The sequence below is a fragment of the Homo sapiens genome, chromosome 6 (genome assembly GCF_000001405.40).
Source record: "Homo sapiens chromosome 6, GRCh38.p14 Primary Assembly".
NCBI classification, from domain to species: domain Eukaryota; kingdom Metazoa; phylum Chordata; class Mammalia; order Primates; family Hominidae; genus Homo; species Homo sapiens.
The window spans coordinates 88540864-88564305 of record NC_000006.12 but is presented as its reverse complement, the minus strand read 5'-3'; positions in this window follow the sequence as shown (position 1 = coordinate 88564305).

Genomic DNA, 23442 nt, shown 5'->3' with positions numbered 1-23442 from the left:
AGGGTAAGGGGTCCAGCAGTGAGGGTTAGGGAGGTGTGAGGGTGCAGTGTGACGGTGGTCAGGCTGGGCCTCCATGAAAAGGGGGAGGAGTGAGCCCAGTGGACACCTAGGAGAAGGGCATTCTGGGCAGAGGGAACAGCCGGAGCAAAGGCCCTGAGGTGGGAGCTGGCCTTAGGCGCTGTGGCGTGGCTGAAGCCAGGTAGGTGAGGAGGGGAAAAAAGAGAAGCTTGGAGGTGCCATAGTAGTGTGTGTGTGGTGGGGCAGGCCTGGAGGACTATCCTGGGGACGTTTGCTTCTCTTGAGTGTGAAATGGAGAACTGTTGCAAAGCTTCGCAGTGTCTACTCCTGTATCTTTGTAAACTCACAAACTCTTAAATCTCAGTTTAAGATTTAAATATGAATTCCCAAATGGCAGGCTGGTATCTGAATGATCAGTATACTACTCAAACACACGGAGCCATGTCACTGAAGTGCTTCCTGAGCACTTGAGTGGGTAGAGGTGGGAAATGGGACAGACCCAGGGGCTCCTTTCCCAGCAGACCTAGTCTAAGCCTCAGCAGAGACTGATGGAGGGCAGGGGAAAGGAAAAGCCACTCATAAGAAAATGATGTCAACTACAGCAAGACAGAGAGTGAATTTTGACTCAGGGGAAAGAGAATCTTCCCTGGATAATTAAAAGTAACTGGAAGAGGCCACTGGGTGAACATTTAGAAGACCAGGCCTCTCTCGTGACCAGCAAGGACACGACCCTGCCTGAGCCTGCTGGACCAGAGCAACTCTTCCAGCAACCGCCAGTTCAGAGATGCCGTACACCCACCTAGTTCCTTTGTCAAAGTCATTTCTGATGTGGGCTGTGACGACAACGTGAAATTATACTCCAGAGTCAGCTGGGCTTCCCGCTCCCCTCCCTAGTTCTTGCTACCCATGGATTAAAGAAAAAATTAACGTGGTGAATGTCAAGGCTCTGTCACAGAAATCTCTGTCAAAGAGAGATATTACCAGGGCAAGATGAATGATTTATTCCTCAGGTCCAGAGATTTCAGAGAGGCCTTGAAAGCCAGGCCTGCTCGGGTTGAAGGGTGCCACCAAGGCGCTTTGTGGGGTGACGTTTGTTGCCTGGAACGGAGAGGAGGGAGACAGGTTGGGAGAGCTTCAGGCCTGAAAGCAAACACACACACGTCTTCCGGCGCTCACTGTGTCCTGCCGTTGTGGGCTGTCACCAGGGTTGAGGGAGCCTTGAGTGATGCTCCTGACAATGTGGAGAGTTTCACATTTATCTAATTTTCTAAAAGACAATTGTATACCAAGAGATTATTATCAACTTTGTCCCCGTGGAAGTTATCGATGCCCTGACTTCAGGGCTGACAAAGTAATGTGTAGTTCATGACATCCGTCAGCCAGACGGAAGAGAAAGCCATTTCCTGCTGGTAAGCACATTGAAAGGAATTTGGGAGATTAGAACCAGCAATATCATCACTCCCGGGTGAAGGGATGTCAATCAGGGGCCATCGGCTTGTTAAGAAGGGAAAAGAGCATTATAGACCTTGACTGTGAAATTGACTGAGCCTGACTTGTATATGTGTGCAGTATTATTAAGATTTTCCCAGGCACCTGGGAGGCCCAGAAGAATGGAAAGAAAACTGATTTTCAGATCAAAAGTAAGCTTCAATTCTGGTCCAAATCTGTCACCTTTCTGGAAATTCTCCCTGTAGACCCCAATGTGTGGGCTCTACCCAATCTCATTGATGGCGCCCACAAATCAAGGTTTTGAACTTTTAACTGACATCTTAAATAGACATACTTATTATTGGAAACGTTACATAAGTTCAGCTCAGGTCTTAAATGTCGTCAGCTGACGTTTATGTTCTAATGCAATTTATAATTCTTCACAGAAAGGTTAACACTTAATTAAAGTACTGCTGGAAATTGCCTTTTTGATAAACCTGGGCTTTGCGCTTTCCTTTGCTTGAAGGGGAGAAAAAAATAATCTTCCATGATCTGCAGGTCTCTCACTAAACATACTCATTTCAGGACCAGGAAGGAAGCCAAGGACAAAGTGGAAACAGGGTTTGTGGCTCAAAATCCCAATCTCTAGGCCCTCAGAGAGCAGCAGCACTGGTTGAAAACCCTCCTGGCAAGGGAGGCAGTTGACTGGGCCATTGCCAAATGTTGGATTCTTCTTCTTTTGTTTTTAGTTGGAAACCAACGAAGGTTGAACTAAAGGCAGATTGCTGGTTTCTTCTTGGGTAAATTACTCTGAAGAGAAACAATATTAGTTATGACAAGAAAACTTGGAAGGCTACAGGCTGGGGAACCAGAGAGATGTTTACATATTGTTCACAAGCTTCTTCTGTGGAGGAAAGCATTCTGCGGCCTAAAAATGATGATTAATCCAACCTATTATTTAAAAAGTAAAAGCCACTATTAATTCAACCCGGAGTAATGCTGTTCTACACTCAGTTAGGAAGCAGGCAGTTCTGAGAAAGCAGTGGGAGGGCCAGGTGGCCGGAAGCAGGGCAGTGGGTTTACCAGCTTCAGGAACAGGAAAAGGATTAACAATCTGGAACTGCAAATAGGAAAATACGTGGCCACGAATCTGGAGCCCCTGAGCATTTTCCTGGGCTTTAGTTGATCAAATTTGCAGTAGAGAAAGTTGCCTGTGACTTCTTGTTTCACACAAGGGAAGCATTTTCATGTTACATAATCTTGTTTGGTATCTGTATGTGTTTTTCAGTTTCTTACCTATGCACACCTTGCTGAAAGTGTTAAAAATGAAGGCATAAGAGTTTTACCAGGATACTTTTTTTTAAATTTAGCTTTTGTTTATAAAAGTAAAAATCTCAGCAAGCTAGTGACCATCAAATTATTGCAAGAGCTAATAGCTTCTCAAAACTTACTTTGAAATAGTAAAGATATTTATATACTGATTACATTAGGCTATTCTCACATTGCTGTAAGGAAATACCCGAGGCCGGGTAATTTATAAAGAAAAGAGGTTTGATTGGCTCACAGTTCTGCAGGCTTCTACAGGAAGCAGGGCAAGCACATCTGCTCGGCTTCTGGGGAGGCCTCAGGAAGTTTTGCTCTTGGGAGAGGGGGAGGAAGGAGCAGGCATGACATGAGAGGAGAGAGGGAGCAAGGCCGGGGTGTGCCACACACTTTTAAATGGCCAGATCTCATGAGAACTCATTCACTCTCATGAGAACAGCACCAATGGGACGGTCCTAAACCATTCATGAGAAATCTGCCCCCATGATCTAATCACCTCCCACTAGGCCTCACCTCCAACACTGGGAATCAAAATTCAACATGAAATTTAGAGGGGCAACATCCAAACTATAATATAGATTAGCAAAAAAAGCATTGTATGGTATAAGGAAATGGATCAAATCAAAGGAGACTGAAGATGTGTGCAGGAACAAAGCCTGTCCTATAAATGCCTTCTTATTTGATAATTTTCCGTTCATGGAAAATTAGCAATAAGCGGTAAGATTGGATGACTATCACTGATAAATGCCTGGTGGTTATGAAGCTGATGTGACTGGCTTTTGCCTGTTGCTTGTTATTTCTTTAAACACATAATCTGTTAATGAACTCATCTGCCTCATACATGTGCCATATTGCAAACTTATTCAGAGACTTCTAAGTGAATATAGAAGAACCAGAAGATTAAAAAAAATTTTTTAGCACATTTGATTTGGAAATCAGAACTCCAGCCAAATCACCAATGAACTGAATGACAACAGGAAACTTAAGGGGAGCCCAGTTTTAAGGAATGAGCAAAAGCTAGTACTGCCCTTTTCCTCAGGCCTCTGTTCCTTGAAACTAATCAGAGGGCGCTGGATCAGCTCACAACATCTTAAAACTCAAGACAGCAGCAATATAGAGGCAGCATCCCACAGTGGCATCATACAGAGAGCAGTGTCTACAGGGCAGCATCACTTACCAGCCATGTGATCCTGGGCAGGCTACTTAACACCACTGTATCTCAGTTTCTACAACTGTAAAATGGGGATACTAACAGCACCAACCTCACAGGGTCATTCTGAAGATTAAATGAGTGAATGTATGGAAAGCACTAGAACCAGTGCCTGGCACTTAGCTCAACAAACGTTAGCTCTTCTCATCAGAATTTCGTGTCAACTTGGTTTGTATGCGAGGGTAGGAGAGGCTGGTCTTCAATTGAACCATCTAAACAAAAACTTGCCAGACCTTGGCATTTGGCAGGGCAACTGAGAAAGAGGTTAATTGTTTTAGCCTTTCTAAGAGAGTTCTGGTGGGAAATATCAGCTTTGGCAAATGAACTCGGAACAGATAAATATACTCAGTGTTTTTGGTCACGTCCTCTATTATTAGTAAAAGCACATTTCCCTTTGGGGTGAACATTAGGGACAAAAATAAGGCTCTTCAGATTACCACCTCCCTTATTAATGCTGTGCAAACAGTTGGGCTTGCATCGAGCCTGACTGGCAAATGCATCCTCACAAAAGCAAATGTGGTGCATTTAGGATACTGTTCACTATGAGCAGAAAAAATGGCGGATTTTGGCGCTGGAAATGTAACGCATGATCTCAGCAGTGGCTGTTAACATTCTTAGATGGGGATTCAGGTCACAGCTCTAAGGGGTCATAAAGTAGGGAGCAGCTGAATGTTATTTTGAGGCTTCCTGAAAGATCTGCAGGCATGTGGGTGCACATTTGCTGCTTATGTACAGGCAGGTTTACTTTTAAAAGCAAATGATTTTGCTGAGCCTATTTCTCAACTTCAGCAGGTGGATATTATATCTTTCAGTGAGTTTCACTGTTATTTGGAACCAGTGAAAGAACAAGAAAAAAAATCAAAGGATTGCTTAATGGCATGATTTCTCCTAAATCCTTTACACCAATTTTGTCTTTCCCAGCATTACTAAGCTTTATGACTTCTTGTATTTTAAGAGTTCACAAAGCTAAAAAGAATCTTCTTGAGTATTTGGAGTTTTCATCTGAAGAGAATCCTGCAGCACCATGGGTGCCGGCCAAACTTGTTTGTCTAGGAGATCCAGCCATGCTCCAGGAAGAGTGGGATGCCCTTCGGTATGAATTCTCAAGCCGCTTCACAAATTGGAAAAAAGCAAGTCTCCTCTTTGCCTTCTTCTATCACCCAGATGCATTTCTGCCACGAGCTGAGGGTTTGGGGTTGTCAGTGAAGTGAAGCTGAGTGGACTCTGGCCACATCCCTTGTGAGAAATATCAGCTGCTTCAAAAACCAGTTCATGTAAAAACTTCACATGTAAACCTAAAACAAATGAATTTACCTTTCATGATGGTTTCCGGCTACAAACCTAGGTAAAACAAATTTGGTTCCATCATATCCAGAGAAAGTAACAACTAACTTACAGCCACCATGATGACCCTTGAAATCTTGAGTGAGTTTGGGGGTATACCATGCTTGGACATTTTAAGGTTAGAGGCGTAACACTGAAATGAAGTTGCCCTGAGAGGCCTTGCAACTCCTTTTCTTGGAGACTTTGAGAAAAGCACAGATTATAGGGAGGAGCAGATACTGAGAGCTGAGGGGACGTTTCTTGCTTCATTCTTTTATGTGATTCCATAAACATCAGCCAGAAACTTGCCTTTGTAAATACTCAAGTTACATTTAACACAAACCAAATAACTAGAGGGCTGATTCAGTATTTAAATTGTTCTGAGAAACTTTTAAAAAACTGCTTTTGCATTTATATTTTACAGAGTGAAAAAAGACAATCATGGAAAAGCACAACCAACTGTGACAGATACAAAGTGGAAAAAAACCTGAGCTTAACAATGAGAAGCCTCATGGGCGGAATTGCAAGAAGACAGCCTAAGCTCTCCTCGTCCGCATGTGCAATTATGTATAGATGAAAAATTACAGAGGCTAATAATTACAGTAGCAATTGTCCACTTGCAGCACAATTAGCCCTTTGCTCCTCATTCTGAGAAAGTGACTAATTGTACCCACAGCAAGCCAACTCTCCATGTATTTGTTTTAGAATGAAATGTTATGCTTGCCAGAAAGTCCCACCTACAAGAGCACAGGACCCAGGGCACCATAAGGCCCAGTGCCCAGGGACTCAGGGCTTTGAAAAACCTACCTTCTAGCCCAGAACAGGCCCTGCAGTATGTGGGAAAGTGGGTAAAAATACTAATGCTGGAGATCTTGTGGACTACATCATGCCATCTATATATTAAAAATGAGGAAGGTAAAAATAGAATTCAGGTAATGACAACAATTATACTTAATGAGTACCTTTCATCGGAGATCAGAAATGCCTTCTAGTTAAATTTCACAGCCTCCGGTGAGATGTAAGGGGAAAATATTTGTAAGCTAAACCTCACTTTTCAGTCAAAGAATCAGAAGCACTTTAGGCAGCGGTGAATAGCAGTGTGTCTGAAATGGATAGAGGATAATTCTCAGAGATTTCTGACTTCTTGCTCCAGAAATCACATTCCTGCTTGTTTTGTTAAGGTAAACACCTTTTCAAAATAAGGCATGTAATGTGTCAGGTGGGTTATAGATGAGCAAAAAGAGGTCCTCCTACACTCCCCCTGCACCCCCCAACACACCCACCTCCACCATGAGGTGACATTATGTTCTTGGTTTCATTAGCCAAGAATACAAAGTCTTCTGAGACGTGGGGTGAACACTCAGGGCAGGAAGAGATGGCCTATCTCTGGGTGACTTCTGTGACCCCTAGATTTTTTTTATGGGACACGCAGCTGCTGACAACACTGTCCACACACTCAGGTCTCTACCAGTTCTTGCTGTGCAGAGATCTAAGACCTGAGCTCACTTCACCATTCTAGAAGATCTTACTCAATCAACCATACCTTTTCATTTGAGGAATATATCTTTGAAGGCCATTGGCTTCAAGAATGCAGCCTCAGGGCCTTGGGGTCCCGGAACAGCCTGTTCCTCCAGCCTTCTAGGGTCCTGGCACAGGCTATCCTCTGGCTCGGAGTATGGTTTTTATTGTCTGGATGTTTTAATGGTTTGGTCAGAGGACTTGATTCCAGATTTGCCTGGCCACAGATCACTCCCTACCCCTGGATGGCTAGTCATATGTTTGTATTTTTTGCATTTGTTGGTAACAGACACAGGTGAATCAACATACAGGACTCTCTAAAGTGTGGGGCCCTGGTGGGGGCTCATCTCACCCATGGCTAAGAGTAGTACTACTGAAGCATGCAGGCTTCTCCTCCTCATTCTCTTTTCTTTTGAAAGCTGGTGAATTCTTTTTCTTCTCCTTCTTCTGGTTAAGTCTCAGTGGACTTCCTCACCTTCTCACTGCTTGGCTCATTCAGCTTGGAGACGTCTGGGGTACGCATGGGCTGCCATGGGGAGGTTGAGTGGATGTGGGGGCCTGGTTCTACTGAGGGCAGGGGCTGGTGTCCCACCACCCTCTCCTCTCCTCTCCTCTCCTCTCCTCTCCTCTCCTGTTGGCTCTATCTGTCTGCTTCTGTCCCTTGTACCAGTGTTCCGGGTGATGGTGCATGAGCTCTCCAGTGGGCCTCTGCCCAGTTCCTCCGTCTCAACTCCCTTTGTTTATTCTCACCATAAAAGACATTTTTAAATGAAGTCTCTGTTATTTTTCTCTTCCAGTGCTCAGTACTGTACCCTCTGTCCAGTACTATCAACTTCACATGCTCCCCAACATCTACCATGTTCATCTCCCACATTAATTCCCCTACATTCTACTGAAAAAAAAAATACAGAGGCACAGATGTCCAATCACCCCCCTTGGCACAGAAGCTCAGATACCAAAGAAATTGTGGCCTCACACCGAGATCCTAAAGTGACCTAAAAGAAAGGAAAAACAGGTGTTTTCCTAAGATTTCCAGCTTTGGAGATGCTGGGTGCATTGCCAGCCTTCTCCTTGTCTCTGCTGGCTCTGACCCAGCAAGATCATTTATGCCCCAAACAAAGGCATGTCTAAAACACAGAAGTCAGATACTTAATGCTTTAGCTGAATTGTCTTGAGACCATTTTAATTCAGTATTCTTGGGAACCATGAACATCCTGAAAATAGTGCCTTAAACATTTTTATTTTTCCCAATTTAGTTGAGACACTCAAATACTCTACTGTGTCAGGTTATATGTGTATACCCACTTCAAGTAGGAGTTTCAGAAACAATTGCTTACCTTTTTGCTAATAAACATGCTATGGTCTTATTCAAGGAAAATACGAAACTTAAGAACACAAACTTTAAACCAATTACTTCCCAGCGTATGTGTCCAAATCTATCTCAAGTTCAGATTTGCCTGTCCGGGGAACTATTTTGCACAATTTTAGAAACAGAATTACTCACAGTTAAGAATGTAAAGTTTCATAGTCTCATATGAAGGACTATCGAGTCTGTATCTAGGTATTTTTTTACTCATATTTTTCTTCTTTGACCTCTTGACAACCTTTCTAAAGTCAGATCACGGTGTTAGGAGGGCCTTTGTGCCGCTCCTACTTGGACGTGACTGTGATGTTGCCTTTGGGATGTAGATTGGTGGGAAAGACCCAACTTTCATGTATGCCTGTTCCCCTGGCAGACTGCCTCACTCTACCTTCAGCTGTCAAGTTCCTCTCTTAAATAGACTAAGATACAACGTCTTATCAGGATCAATGAGGAAGAACACAGAACAAATCTTGGTGTAGCTTCTCTTGGCCCCTGAAATCTATAATGGGGGCTTGGAGTTGCCAGCAATACTGTCCAGTTCTGTCTAGATCATGAAAGCACAATTCTTGCCAACTTCCACGCTGTTTAATCTCAAGGATTATATCAGTACTTCAGAAACATCCACACGAATAGTCTATGAGCTTTCATTTAAGGGAATGTTGATAAACATCCCTAGAGTCTCCTTGTTCTTAAGCCAAAGTCAGATTTATTGATAGTTGGGTGGTTGGTGTAAATGAGTGGGGTAGAAGTCCGAGGAGATTGGTTGAGGCAATAAAGAGAATTAAAGATATCAGTATAAGGGATCAGCTTCATCCTTTGATACTATGTATGACTCATCAATAAGGGCAAGGTTTTGGGGGTGGGGCATTAAATGCATTAATGAATCACATCTCCACATCCACCTTTCTAGTGTTCCAGAAAGCCCCTTTCCTCACCATAACATTTCACCTTATTTCTCCAAGTCTATACAGTGACTCTATTGTCTACCGAATCTAGTGGGAACATTCAGGTCTGGTTGAAGGCCGGCTGTGTTTTGGAGGTAGCTTGCCTCTCCATTGCTCAGTCACCATATTCTGCTGATGTCACACACTCTATCTCCTCACGCAGCCACTGTATTTATTTCCCTGCACACATTTGAATCATGCTATTTCCCTCACCCAGAATATTTTCAGCTGTTCTGTCCTATACATTTTGTATCCGATATTTTCCTGGCATCTTCTTACCCTTCATCTGGAATTTCCCTCTAGGAACTATCCGTTTCTCTGCTCTCAGCTGAGACAGAGCCGCCTCGTGGGCCCTGGGCCTGAGGGAGTCCTACTCAGAGCCAGACTTTTGCTGAGAACGCTGAGATAGAGGCAAGCCAGTTTCCTTCCCTAGACCTGAATTCGACAGGAAATAAGGTTCAGAGCTATTGGCCACCATCTTGAAATTGTCAGGCACAAGCCAGCGGGAGAACAGAGCTAACCCAGAGAAAGTGGAGCCAGGGAATGATGAGAGAGGAGCATGGTCCTGACACTGAGCCCTGCAGAGGGCTCAGGCTGTGCCTCAACTCGCCTTGGCTTTTTCATTATGTTATCTTTTTATTTTATTATTGTTTTGCTTAGGTCAATTTGCATTGAGTGATCTTCTTATCCCTCACTATATCACTTTATAGGGGTTATGATGATGATGATATGGGAAAATGCATATAAACTATCCAGCACAGTGCCTTCTGCAGAAGAAATACTCAACAAATGTTAGCCATTACTATAGTGATGGCAGAAGGAGATTAAGTCAATATAATCTTTAAACATTTTAAATGTTAGTTTTCCCAGCAGTTAAGAATAGTATGAAATGCTTGTTCTGTGTGGTAATGAATGACAAGAGGAACTTGGGAAAGTATGGGGGAAATACATCAAGGTTTGCCTTTGATGTTGGACTTCCCTTTGTTATTTTTCTGGAGGATCAGAAACAGTGCTTCATGTGTAAAGATTGTTTTCCATGCTTAAGAAACTCCCTTCAATGTCTTTGATTTTCCGGGACAATTTGTTGTCTTCTCTTAGTAAGCTAGAAACGTGTTCAAAGAAGCTTTTTTTTGTGTGTGAATTTTTATTTTGGAGTCTCAGATGCAGGACGGCATATAACTTTAACATCACAACTAGATGCTTCAGTCTGACACACTCCATTGGATACTAATCTGAGTTTTCTCACGTCTCCTGTCTCTTGGGACCTTAGAAAAGGACCATTTCCCCAGGTGGATAGCTACCAATCTGGCAGATGCTCCCCAAATGGGGAATTAACTTGCTCATTATTTCAGATGCATAGTAATTCATTTGCTTTAGAGATATTTTCTGTTGCCTCACAGCAAGATCTTCTTTGAATGGTTAATATTATCTCTTCAACAGAGTTCAAATCCTGGCCTGACCATTCGTTGACTTTCATAATTTTATCAAATAGCTTGGACTCTCACCACCCCACAGCAGCAATATTTGTAAAATGCAGGAAGTTTATATTTTCCACCAGATGTTGGAATATTGCTTTGTACTCTGATATTGATGAGATGTTCCAAAGTAAGTGGTCATTATCACTCTCACTCATTTTTAGCTGAAGGGAATTTAATAATGCTGACTCTAATTTTCTTTTGGTCTGATAATTATAGGGCATGTGGTTTTAGTCCAAATAAAGGTTAACATCTGCCTTAATTTGTCTCGGTCCTTTTCTCTCCAGTGCCTTATATCAAGAACAGTGACTGCCATCACTATAATCACAGAATTTTTATTATTATACATGCTGATATTTTCTATAGCACTCCGTAAGACACGGGTTTCTCTGGTGCTTACCTTGTAAGAGAGATAATGGTGATAAATAAGTATGAGAAATTTACCAGTCCATCCAAGTGTTCAGCAAGCCTTTCTTAAAGGTTTCTCAAAGGACACTGTTTATAAATGAAATAAAATCATCATGCTTTATTCTACATCCTGTAGAAATTATTTCTCCTTAGGACAAGTAGACTGGAGATTGTTAATATTTAAATTCTGGAATTTGGAATAGAAATTCTCCTTTCAAAAATGTATACTTTTAGATTGTGATAAGGATGAGCAAAGACTTAAATGAAGTACAATATAAATCAAAATGAACTTCCAGGAGAAAACAAAAAATGATTACTAGGAAAAGGGATTTGATATATGAGCTAAACTCTCAACAGATATTTAACAGGCTGATTCAATACTGCTGTTGATCCCAAATCTCTCAGAAGTTAGAGTGAGAAGCAAGAGGGATTTAAGAGTTTGAGCCATGACATTATTTATGTAAACTTTAAAAAAACACACACAAAATACTAAATACAGTTCATGGATACCTGCCCATACTATGAACGTATAAAAACAAGGATGGACACAAAAGCACACTTGTCTTAGGACACTGCTAAGTTCTCAGGAGACAGAGTGGAAAGGGGTCAGAGAAGACGTCAAGCAGGGCTTCAAATGCATTTGTGTTATGTCTTTCATTTTGTTAAAAACAAGATAAGGTTTTGAAGAAATATGGCAAAATTGTAAGATGTGTTAAATATTGGTGGATGGCAAATAGTTGTTATAGTGCTATTTTGTATGTTTTAAGTGTTTCACATGAACAGTACTTTTTACAAATTTTAAGAAAATGTACTGTCTATCTGAGTAGAGGAATAGAATCACAGAATTGATGACCTGAGAGAGTAAAGTATAGTTATGGCTTATGGTTCATGTTTTATGAATGAGGACACCAAGCCCTGAGAGGTAAAGTGATTTTCTTAAGGTCCCAGGGCCAGGTGCCATCACGATGTCACTCAGGTTCATCAAAGCCCCTAGCTGAGAGCTCTGTCCAACATATATTGCAAGCGTGTCTCGTAAGCAAAACTTTCCTAATGATGAAATAGGCACTGCTCTCACTCCAAGGTAAGTGACAGAAGAATTCTCACTGGAGACATTACAAACATGTCTGAACATCTTTTTAAAAGGACACGTTGGGCTTGAAATTAATTCAGTTCAACAAATCTATTGAGTACCTAGTAATTACAAGGCATTGTACATCCTACCCAGGTAAGATTCTTATAGATCTTTTCCATCTGTAACTAACTTTGTGATAGTTTTCCCCTTAACTGGTTTCATCAAGGCAGAGAGACATAATACTGAACCCAAATGTCCTTGATAAACCAGAGGAGAGGCTAGAAGCCAAAGACCAAGTGGGAAAAACCCCTGGGGCATGGCAGCCTCGAAATTTCTAAAGGTAAAATCTATATTTAGAAACAAGCAGTGATGGTTGTCTATGACCAATCTAGAACTTAGGTGTTCCCAAGTAAATCCATAAATAATACTGCCATTAGAAGAGTCTGATTTCCAGGGTCTAGAAGTAATAGGCAAGAAATGATCCTTCCTAATTCAACTCATAATCTGTGTGACTGAAATTGATTGTGCAACCACGTGGATCAAGGCAGGTGACTAAAGTGTTAGGAAGGAAACAGTGAAGAGGGGATGGCTCAACAAAGGATGCTCCACATTGGCAGAGAAGAGGAAATAAGTTCTAAATTGTGGATCTTGTTTAACATAGGAGTTCCTGGCTGCTCATGTTGGCATATATGAGAATAAATTTATTGAGAAAGGTTTTGGAAGTGCTGTCTTTAGGCAAATTCTAACAACAACATTTATTCATGTGTGACTGAAACAATTCCCTTTAGGGTCAGTGGTTGGAGCATCTGTGTTCTCAAGGGTTCTCCCTCATCTGTGGTCCCAAATCAATTTCTGTCATCAAGGCTGAACGCCGGTTCACCAGTGGAGTTGTTCAGTGTGGTTTGCCCTGTGCAAGTTTGGGCTTCCGGGTTCCACGATATGAACCGGTTGAGGAGCTGGTGGGGGTGAGGTGGGTATTCACACAATGAGGCTGGTGTTGGCAATGGGGTAGACTGAGGATGGGGAGCGTACATCCAGGGCCATATGCATTTCTGCGGAGGGCCCTACTCAGCCATCTCCGTGTAGTCTGACAGCGACAGTGGCAGAACCTGAACGTGAGGTGGAGGGGAGGTGCTGTGGAGATGGCTGCACCAATACCCACCCACCCCAGCCCCACCTCATAACCACCGCTAGCCACAAGGTCACTGGGGACATGAAGTATTGGACATCCAGGGATGTGGTGGGGATGCGATGGGGACCTGGAGGGAGGGAAGAGAAGTGGGCGACTGGATGGATTGATCATACTTCCCAGTTAGCCTAGAATGGTCCTGGCTTATGCTCTTTTTTCCCCCTGAAACTTGTTAAAAGTGTATCATCTCCTTTCACTCTCAGACCTGTTCCCATTTGGATGATAAATTATATTGTTACCCCAGAGGGATCACGGGGCATAAGACGAGCATATATATGGCCCATCTTAATCCAGCTGAGAACATTAAAGTCATCCCTTGAAAATTTTGGCACTGCGATAGTTTGTGTTCTGACTCACAGCTGAGTTCAGGGGCAAAATGTCAGCATCGCCACAATTCCTTACATCCAACTGTTATGGAGGCTGTGAATTTAAATGGTTCCTGTCTTTGAAGCTGCAAATGAGCCCTGTCAAATTCCCAGAGTTGTCAGGGTCCTCGCTGAGATGTGAGTCCAGCAAGGGCAGATGGACTCTTCCCACCAAAATTACCTCCCTGGCTTTGTAAATGAATATCCTCAGCAAAAATTGCTTTTGAAATAATCATCTTCCCATTTAAATATGGAAAGCTGGGCCCCATGCATTTTGCAGCATGTTTGAGACTATATTCCTGGAAAATTTAACTGATTATCTTCAAGATCAGCTGACATTGACTATCATCCTGGCACAGATGAAAGAATAAATGATTAAATCTGAAAAGAAATGTGGGTATTTTAAAAGAATTGGATTTTTTTTTTTTTGCCAACATAATCATCTTATTCATGTGTTTTTCATCCTCTGGTAACATTTTGATATACAGCCTATGTTCAAGATCAGCAACGGAAGCAGGCACAGAAATGAAATGAAATGAACTTCCACAACAGCCAGTTTTAGATATTTTGGGCAGTTCTCTCTGTAGGCTGGGGACTGCCTAATAATGAAATGAAGGTCTCAGGGCTCACCAGCAAACCACAAAGCAGCTAATTTGGTATTTCTTGCAGAAAAAGAACTGGAAGCTGCACAGTGTTTGTTTAGGAAAGAACTTAGCCAAGTTAGTTGATTAGGGTGTTTCAGGAAGGACAGTTTATACTCCAATAATCGTCAGAATACAAAATAGAGATGTGAAGTGAATTCTATCGAGGAACAGCCTTTTCCAGAAACCCACGTTGGGGCTGGTGGGAGTGTTACACACAAAAGAAAATTGTATCTTCCTCTCCTCAAGACTCCAGGCAAAAAATCCACATAACTGCTGAAGAATGGCGCCTTCCTATACACACACAGAGGTGAAAGAATAGGGGACACTAGTCTTCTGTGTGGTCTCAGGCAGGCCCTGAACATAATTAGAAGCCCACTGGAGTAATGAAAGAAGGTAAAGCACTGTAAACCGGGTGCTGGGCTTGCAACCAGAAAGGGAAGGTCCATGCCACTAGGTAGGAGAAAGTTCACAGGGAAAAAAGAGCTCCTGACCTCTTCTGATAATTCTCAGATGAAGGTGGAGACTGGCCTAGCATGTCTCTAGCCATCCGGAGGCCAAAACAGGAGAGCAAGATCTTCTGGTGGGTGGATGCTGAAGAAGAAAGAAGCAGCAGAAGAAGGAAGCAGAAGAGGAGGAAGAGGAAGAAGAAGAAAAGGAGAAGAGGAAGAGGAAGCAGAAGAGGAAGAAGAAGAAAAGGAGAAGAGGAAGAGGAAGCAGAAGAGGAAGAAGAAAGAGGAGGAGGAGGAAGGGAGATAAAGAAGAGGAAGAAGAAGAAGACAAAAGAGGAGGAGGAGGAGATGGTGGTGGCCCTTAAGAGGGAAACATTGCTTTTGAGCCTTCTGCCAGCTTAGATATTGTGAGATTGAAGGTGGTGACCTCAAGTGTTGTGACTCATGTGTTTATGGATCATTGAGCTGTAGCTGCTGGGAATGGGCCGCAGGGTTGCAGAAATAATGATGCCCTCAGCTCAAGGCCATGAGGCAGCCAGATCTCCTTGTTGGTGGCCTCGGGCCATGAACAGTCGCATCCTTGCCCCAGCGTGCTGCTGAAATGCCATTTCTATGTGTGCTAGTGAAGTGACCAAGGCTGGGAAGCCCTGGAATAGTGCCTTCCTCTGAGTACTTCCAGGTGATAGTGGGGGTCGGGGGTGTCGAGGATGTGGAGTTTATTTCTGCTGTGGTCTTAACTGTGTTCCCAAGAAAGATAAGTGAGAGTCTTAACCCCTGGTACCTGTGCATGTGACCTTATTTGGGAATAGTCTTTGCAGATATCGTTAAGATCTGAAGATAAGATCATCCTGGATTTAGGTTGGGCCCTAAAGCCAATGACTGGTGTCCTTATAAGAGAAAGGAGAGGGAGATTTGACAGGTGCAGGGAAGAAGACCATATGAGGATGGAGGCAGAGACTGGAATTATGCAGCCATAAGCCAGAGAATGCCAGGACCCACCAAAAACTGGAGCAGGCAAGGAGGGATTCTCCCTAGAGTCTGGAGGGAGTGTGGCCTTGCCAGTACCTTGTTTTTGGAGTCCTGGTCCCCAGAACTGGGAGACAGTAAATCTCTGTTATTTAAGCTAACAAGTTCATGGTCATTTCTTGCAGCAGCCTTAAGAAACTGATTCGACTTCCACCTTGCCATCTCTTCTTTCTGAACAACTTGAATATGCATGGACTCCACTCTACTGTCATCCATCCCTGCCTTCTTCCCCTCACTCTTTTCCTTCCCTCTCCCTTCCCCTATGTTCCCCTCCTCTCACAGAGGTCTCCATTCACTGCTCTGTTCTAGGTATTGCTAGTCTGTGGGACTCCAGGCATGGGTAGACCCTGCTCCTGTCCTCAGCTCAGTTTGGTGGAAGAGATAGACCTAAGCAGGTCAATTCAAGGGTGGTAGGTGCTGGAGTTGACATTGGTACAAAACGCTGTGGGAGTCAGAAGAGGGAGCGATTCATTCCGTGGGTGTAGGGGAAGTTTTCCCAGAGGTGGGAGCATTTGAGCTGCACCACTGGAGCATGAGTGAGATGAAGAGAGTCAAGTGGAAACAGGCACTCTAAGCAAGGGGAAATGTCATCTGAGGTGGATCTCTGATGGGTGAGTCATCAGTGACATATCCCTTACTTGTGCTTCTTTCTATTCCTGTGACATGTGATGAAGTGCTGGGCTGTTTCGTACATTCCATGACCTACCTTCCATTACCTCTAAGGTAATTTCTGGGTTCACAGTCTGGCCGGTGTTGGGCACAGGAATCGATTATAGCTCAGAGCTGTCCCAGGAAGTGTGGTCTGCTCTTGGCCTGGTAGGCCCAGAGGTGCCATATTGAATCTAGGACTTCTCATGAATTTGTGCTTATTGGAAAGGAGGAGAGCAGAGTTACCATGGAAGAGAGTCCCTGGGTGCACCTGCACTCTGCTGGGATCATGGGGTACAGACCAGCATTCTCAAAGGGTGTGGTGATAGATACACAGAAAGGCACTATGGATCCTTCTCACCTAGAGTGGAACTGACCCATGAAGCACTCTCTAAAGGTTTCTCTACCCCAAGGGGAATGGAAAACTAGTAAGACAGCCTCATTTTTAAACTAAAGTAGTTGAATGCTGAGACTTTGGTATTATCCACTTTTGAAAGTATGCTTTTGACTTTTAAGTTGTATTTGTGTCTGGGTTTAAGAACTTGCACTTGACTCTTCAGGTATTCTGCATTCAAACTAGAGACAGGTTGACTTTGTCCTGAAACATTAGACTGTGGATGATGCTCCAAATATGCTAATTGAAGCCAAAGTGTGTTAATTATGGCCTGCACCTTGAAGCCAGGTCACCTTTCAATAGACAGGAGTCAGCTTAGGGTAGGGCGGGTCAGGGTGAGGGAAGCAAGACACTAAGTCCCCAGGGAGACATTGGCTCCTCACATAGTGTAAAATCCCTTGGTGTATAAGATGCAAGTCCTGGCTTTTCTCTTGTGTGTCTCAGAGCAAATTACTAACCCACTTGTGCTTCAATGTTCTCATCTGTGAAAAGGGCATAATATTAGTATCATCTTCAGGTTCTGTGAAATTAAAATGAGTTAATGCATGTGAAGTGCTGCGTGCTGCCTGGCATGAGGCCAGCAATCATCGAAAGCTCTGTTATTATGAAGACCATGGCTACTTTCTGCAAAGAGTCAAATGAGATGATGTAGGTGAAGTGTCTAGCATAGTGTGACCGCATCCTAGGCCCTCAACAAGTATGAATGCCCCTTTACCTGAAGGCACTTCCCAGCTGACCTGGAGTCGGAGGAGGACTCAAGGCGCATAATGAACAAGAGTCTAGAACAGGTGTGGAGCAGGTGCCAGGGATCCGTGTCACATCTGCTCAGGGCAGCCCCGGGAGCCTGCCTGACCACACAGAAGGGGGTGGCTCTTCCAGCACCCCAAGATGCAAGGCCAGGGAGATGACAGGAACCATGAACAACTGCTCCTGCTCCAGGCCTGGCAATGGACAGAGCCACCCTTAGTGGCAAATCCATTTCCTTAATGCTATTTCTAGAAACTATCATGGGTGCTTGCTAAAGAGCATGGGGTTCAGGTCCTATGCCTGTGTTGGGGGTGTGGGGTGGTGTTGTCAGGGGTGTGGGGGGTGGTCCACGTTGGTCCAAGGCAAAAGCTACTGGAGGAAACAACATTGAGCATTGAATTCGTGCTCACTCTTGCATCTCACTGGATTCTCACATTAACCTTCCATGGTGGACATGAATATCCTCGTTTTTATAAAAGAGGAAAGGAAGGCTTAGAAAAGACAGTGACCTGCCCAGGCCCACCCACCTGATAAAGGCAGAGCTGAGAATCAAACTCACTCTAACTCAAAGCTTCAGTTTCTTTCCCTCCACCAAACTGCCTCTCTGCTTTCATATCCCCTTAATGATAAACACACACTTCTGATTTTACCGTAAGATGTTTTTCTTCTAAATTTCATTTTAAAGAGAAAAAACAATATTATTTTTTGTTCAGTTAAATAAGAGCTTTTTATTGTGCCCAGAAGAATATATAGGAAACTTGGAGGATAACGAAACTAAACATACAAACTTTCTAATTTACTAAACATACCACATCCCTGTAAAGAACTTACCTAGTTTTGCTTGCAAAAGAGGAATAAATTGAGAAATTACAGGAAAAGTATGTTTTCTTTGTGAATCTGGAACAAATTGAAACTAGGATATTATCTGTAGGGAAAAATACTTTAGGGAGAGAACTTCTGAATTGTTTTAGAGATTCATTTCTGTGCCTTAAAAAACCTCAAATTTGCATGAAAAGAGAGATGATAAGAGGAACCTGTAGAATTTCGACTAGATCCAGACTCTCATCCTCAGCACTCCTGGCATTCGGGGCTGGATGATTCTTTGTTGGGGAGCTGTCTGGTACATTGTAGGATGTACTGCAGCATCCCTGGCCTCTACCCATTAGATGCCAGCAGCAACTCCTTAGTCGGGACAACCAAAGACGTCTTCAAACATTGCCAGATATCCCTTTGGGGAAAAATCACATCCTGTTGAGAACCACTGAGCTAGATGAAAAAATGTTATCATCAATTAATTTTCATGCTTATTCTCATGGTTTGTGGCATTATATCAAGAGCACATCTGCTTCCTGGCAGTTCCCAAGAGGCACCGGCAGAACAGAGAGACCTTTTCATGATGGGATCATATGGGGCCTCTCCATTCTTCATTCCTCTTAAAAATAAAAATAAAAATAAAAGCAGCTTTATTAAAATATAAATCACACATTATAAAGTTCCCTCTATTAAAGAGTAGCATTCAGTGGTCTTTAGAATATCCACAGAGTTGTGCAACCATTACCACTACTTAATTTTAGAACATTTTCCTCACCCCAGCTTCTGGCAAACACTCGTCTACTTTGTGACTCTGGATTTGCAGGGATCCATTCTCCAGTGTGAGATGCCTGGCTTGAAAACCAAACAGCCAATGTTGATAGGGTTCCTTCCCCTGACCCAATAGCTCCTTATCCTCCCTTAGGAGTTTTTAAACTTGCTTTAAAATCTGGTTTAAAATTCTTCCCTTCCAGGAAGCATTCCCCAGTTTCTTCCAGGCCTGACTGTCTGATCATTGCCCCCAGCGCTTCCAACTGCAGCTACTCAAACAGAAGAGCTTTGCAGAGGCAGAGGCCTTCTGGCCCGGCCCTGCCGCTGCCATTGTGCAGTCAGGCCAGCGACAGGAGTCAATATGGTTCCTTGGCTGATTTGCTCTGGGCCTCAAAAGCTGCTTTGCTTTGTGGGAATTAAAAAAAAAAAAGCAACAAAGTATATTGAGTAAGGAGCTAGGCAGGCAGGTCTGTGGCCAGTCAGATTCCTGGGCTGTCAGTAACTGAGGATCCGTAAGATTGAGCCGCTAGGGCAATGGGCAGAGGTGAAAAAGTCAAGATGAAAATCCATGAACGGTTCTAGCTATAACACTCATTCCAATGGGAAAAAAACAAGCAGGAGGTGTTAGTGCCCAAATGTCTATGGTTTTGTTTGTGGAAAGCCAGAGCAAGGAGCTGGTTTATCTTGGTCTTAGGGCTGCTTTCAACCTGCCACGCTCCAACTTTGATGAGGTGGCAGCAAGGCCTGGGAACCCAATCTTGGGGCCTCTGTGAGAAGGAAGCAGGAAGGGCAGGAAATGACCTCTCCCAAGCATTTGCCATGTGTTAGCACTGGGCCAGAAGGACCATAGCTGAGAACGGAGCATCCACCAAGTGCCCAGCTCAGCTCTAAGTCCTCACATTCAGTTCCCAAAGCGAGCCAATGAGATGGGTGCTATCACTGTGCCCATTTTGGAGACAAAAAAATCTAAGACCCAGGGAAATTGAGTAAATTGCCCAAAAGGTCACTGAAAAGTAGTGAGTGTGGGGCTCTGGTCCAGAATCTGGGCATGTAACTACTGCCTGATACCGCTTCTTGGAGGAGCACTGCCAGGTGCTCTGACATGTATAACCCCCCTTAGTTCTGATGACAGCTCTTAGTTCTCATGACATGCGTAACCTACCTTAGCTCGTCAAAGAAGAGAGCTAATTATGATTCTAGTTATTTACATAACTTAGATGACAATTTTGAAAACAGTTATACTTCAGAGGCTCATGTCTCTGTGCTCTCATGTGAATATTATTACCTTGTGTCCAAAGGAGGACCTGATGCTCAGGGAGATTAATGATCACTCAGCTCCTAGGCGGCACAGCCAGGTTTAAACCCAGGCTAAAATGTGCTCATCCCACAGGAACACTGCCAAGGACAGTGCCCACAACTAGGTTCTTCCAAAAGTCAGCCTGGGAGCCTTCATTCTTACCCCTTGGAAAGAAGAGCCACTGGTTATTAAGGGAAAATGACTTAGTTCTTTTCTTGTCTTCAGGCAAAGGTGAAAAATAGGCAGTGCTCCTAGAAGGATCTGAAAAAATTTTCCTTACAGAGATAGAAAGAACGTAGAAAGAGAAAAAATGGTGCTGAATCATAGGATCCTGAAAAGGAGTTAGGAGAAATAAGGATCCGACTGTTTGCATTCCTTGGAAGAATCTTCCAGGACTGAGGACTGGGAAACATGTGAGTTGAGCATGGACAGGAAGGCTGGTGGTCAGGCCATTCTTGGTCAGGATGCTTACGTGACACTTACCCCAGGAGGATCCCTACTGCACAGTCATGCCTGTCTAAGACAAAAGCACACCTCAAACTGATAAATATACATGAACACACCTCAAACCTGAACGGAAGCTCATCAAAGAAGAGAGCTAATTACAGTGCTAGTTATTTACATAATTTAGATGACAATCTTGAAAACAGAGTTATACTTCAGAGATTCATTACTTTAATCAGGTTGCAAGTAATGAAAAATAACACAGATCGAGCCAGGCTGATTTGCGTGAGCATTAAACATATAGGTCAGTATCTATACATAGAGCAAAATGCCAGAGATTGCAAGTTATCTTAGAGTCATTCTAGGATAAATGGGGTAATGGATCAAAACAGAAAGTATGAAAAATAAAAATTGATCAGGACAGTTATTTGAATGTGGACTTAGATGGCTCTGTAACTGCTTTAATCAAAGTATATAGCTGTTGCATAAAAGAGTATATCTTAGTGAAAGCTTAGTGGGTGGGAACATGGCATGAATAAAGGATTTTATTACCATAAAACCATAAAATTCAATTTTATGCAAAAATAAAAATGACAGGCAATATAAAAATTGGGCTATCCAAGAAAGAGTATCCCACAGATATAATCTACTTTTGGGTTGGCTCTGGACAGTTTGATTGCTTCAGTGGGAGGTAACTAACTGACTACATGGAGTGACTTGCTCTTTCTCTGGAGGTTTTGTCCCGCCTCCAGACTTACATACATGTTGTTCTTCTGCCTGCAGTACCCCACCTGCTCTTGTCAGCAAACACATATTCGGCCTTCAGTGCAGAGTGGAAGGCAATCTGGTAGCACAGTAGAAAGAGGGCTTTGGCCTTGGACTCCCAGTTTAGCCATTGTCTGGGTGGCTGGTCTTGAGCAGTTTACTTAACTTCTCTAATCCTCTGTCCCCTGCAACCTCCAATAGGTAACATAGCATTAGTCCCCCATCAATGATCTCCTTTGTCGTTTTTGCTTTCCTTATCACTATTATAGCATTCACAATTATAGACTACTTGCTGTTTATGTGGATGTAGCATTTGGCTTGCAGTCAGAAGTCTTGAGTTCAAATTCCAGAGCTGCAAGTTACTGGTTAAGCTTCAGTTTCCTCAGCCTGTTGTCCCAGCCTGAGCAACATAGTGAGACCCCCATCTCTACAAAAAATAAAATAAAATAAATTTACCTGGGCATGGTGCACGCCTGCAGTCCCAGCTACTAGGGAGGCTTAGCTGGAAGGATCACTTGAGCCCAGAAGATCAAGATGGCAGTGAACCATGATTACACCACTTTGCTCCAGCCTGGCCAACAGAGCAAGGCCCTGTCTCAAGAATAAAATAAAATAAAATAAAATAAAATAAAATAAAATAAAATAAAGTAAAATGATGGTAAAGCCTGTCGAGGCAAAGACTGACCACTGATCACCAAACCTGTCATAGCTGGTCATGTGACTGAGTAGAGCCAATAGAATATAAGCAGGGATTATGAGGGCCACTGACAGTTCCTGGCCCTTAAAAGCCCTCCCTGCTTCCAATCCTGACAATTTAAGGTAGTTGAGAACTGTAACCTAATAAGCCACGTCTTGAAGGCAACAGAGACACAAGATGGGGGAGTCTTAGCCCCTGACTCACCACTTGGGAGAGCTCATCCCTCCAGCCAAATAAGGAATATCCATTTTGGGCTTAATGTGAGTGAGACACAAGCATCTCTTGAGAGCTGGCAGTTTATCTGTTACAGCAGCTAGCATTACCTTAACTAATATATCAATACTATAGAATTGTTGTGAAGATTATAACATCACCTGGCAGGGTTCCTGGTACATAATAGGCCCTTAGCAATGTCTAATAAATGAATGGACCATTATGTTCTCCAAAAGAGAAAATAGAATTAATATATATAATGATGTCCCCCATGCTAAGCCAAGTTTATTTTTTTTTTCTGTCAAGTTAGATACACATAATTGGGATTCCTCAGAGGTTTGTAAGGATGGTACTCTCTTGTGGCTAAATTAGTATAACTTGTAATCAAATTTCTCACAGATTTCCAGAATATTGGTGCTGAATGGGATCTTAGCAAGCAAGTCACACACACAACTTTCTCATTTCACAGATGAGAAGACAAAGGCTTAGAGAGGGTAATTACTCTTGGGTAATCAGGGGCAGAGCAAGGGCTTTTAATTATTTTCACAATAATAGAGAGATTTTGTGATTGCCAAAGTTACAAATGATTGTGGCTTAAAATTGAGAAAATAGAAAAGTTTTATTTGATGGAGAAAATAAGATTAACTCTCGAGTAGCCAGGGGTTATGTTTTCAATCTTTTATCTATATATGTTGTGTAGAGTTTAACAGAGATCATGGTGTTTACACAATTTTAACTACTGGGCACCAAAACTTGACCCTGGGCCTCAGGGAGAATTGGGGCTCCCTGGGCCACTCTTAGAGGCTGAGATCTCAGAATAGGATTGCCATGACTGCTTTGACAAAAATGACATCTCATAGGGTGAGAGAATTCCTACTTTCTACTTGAGGAGGTCGGGGTG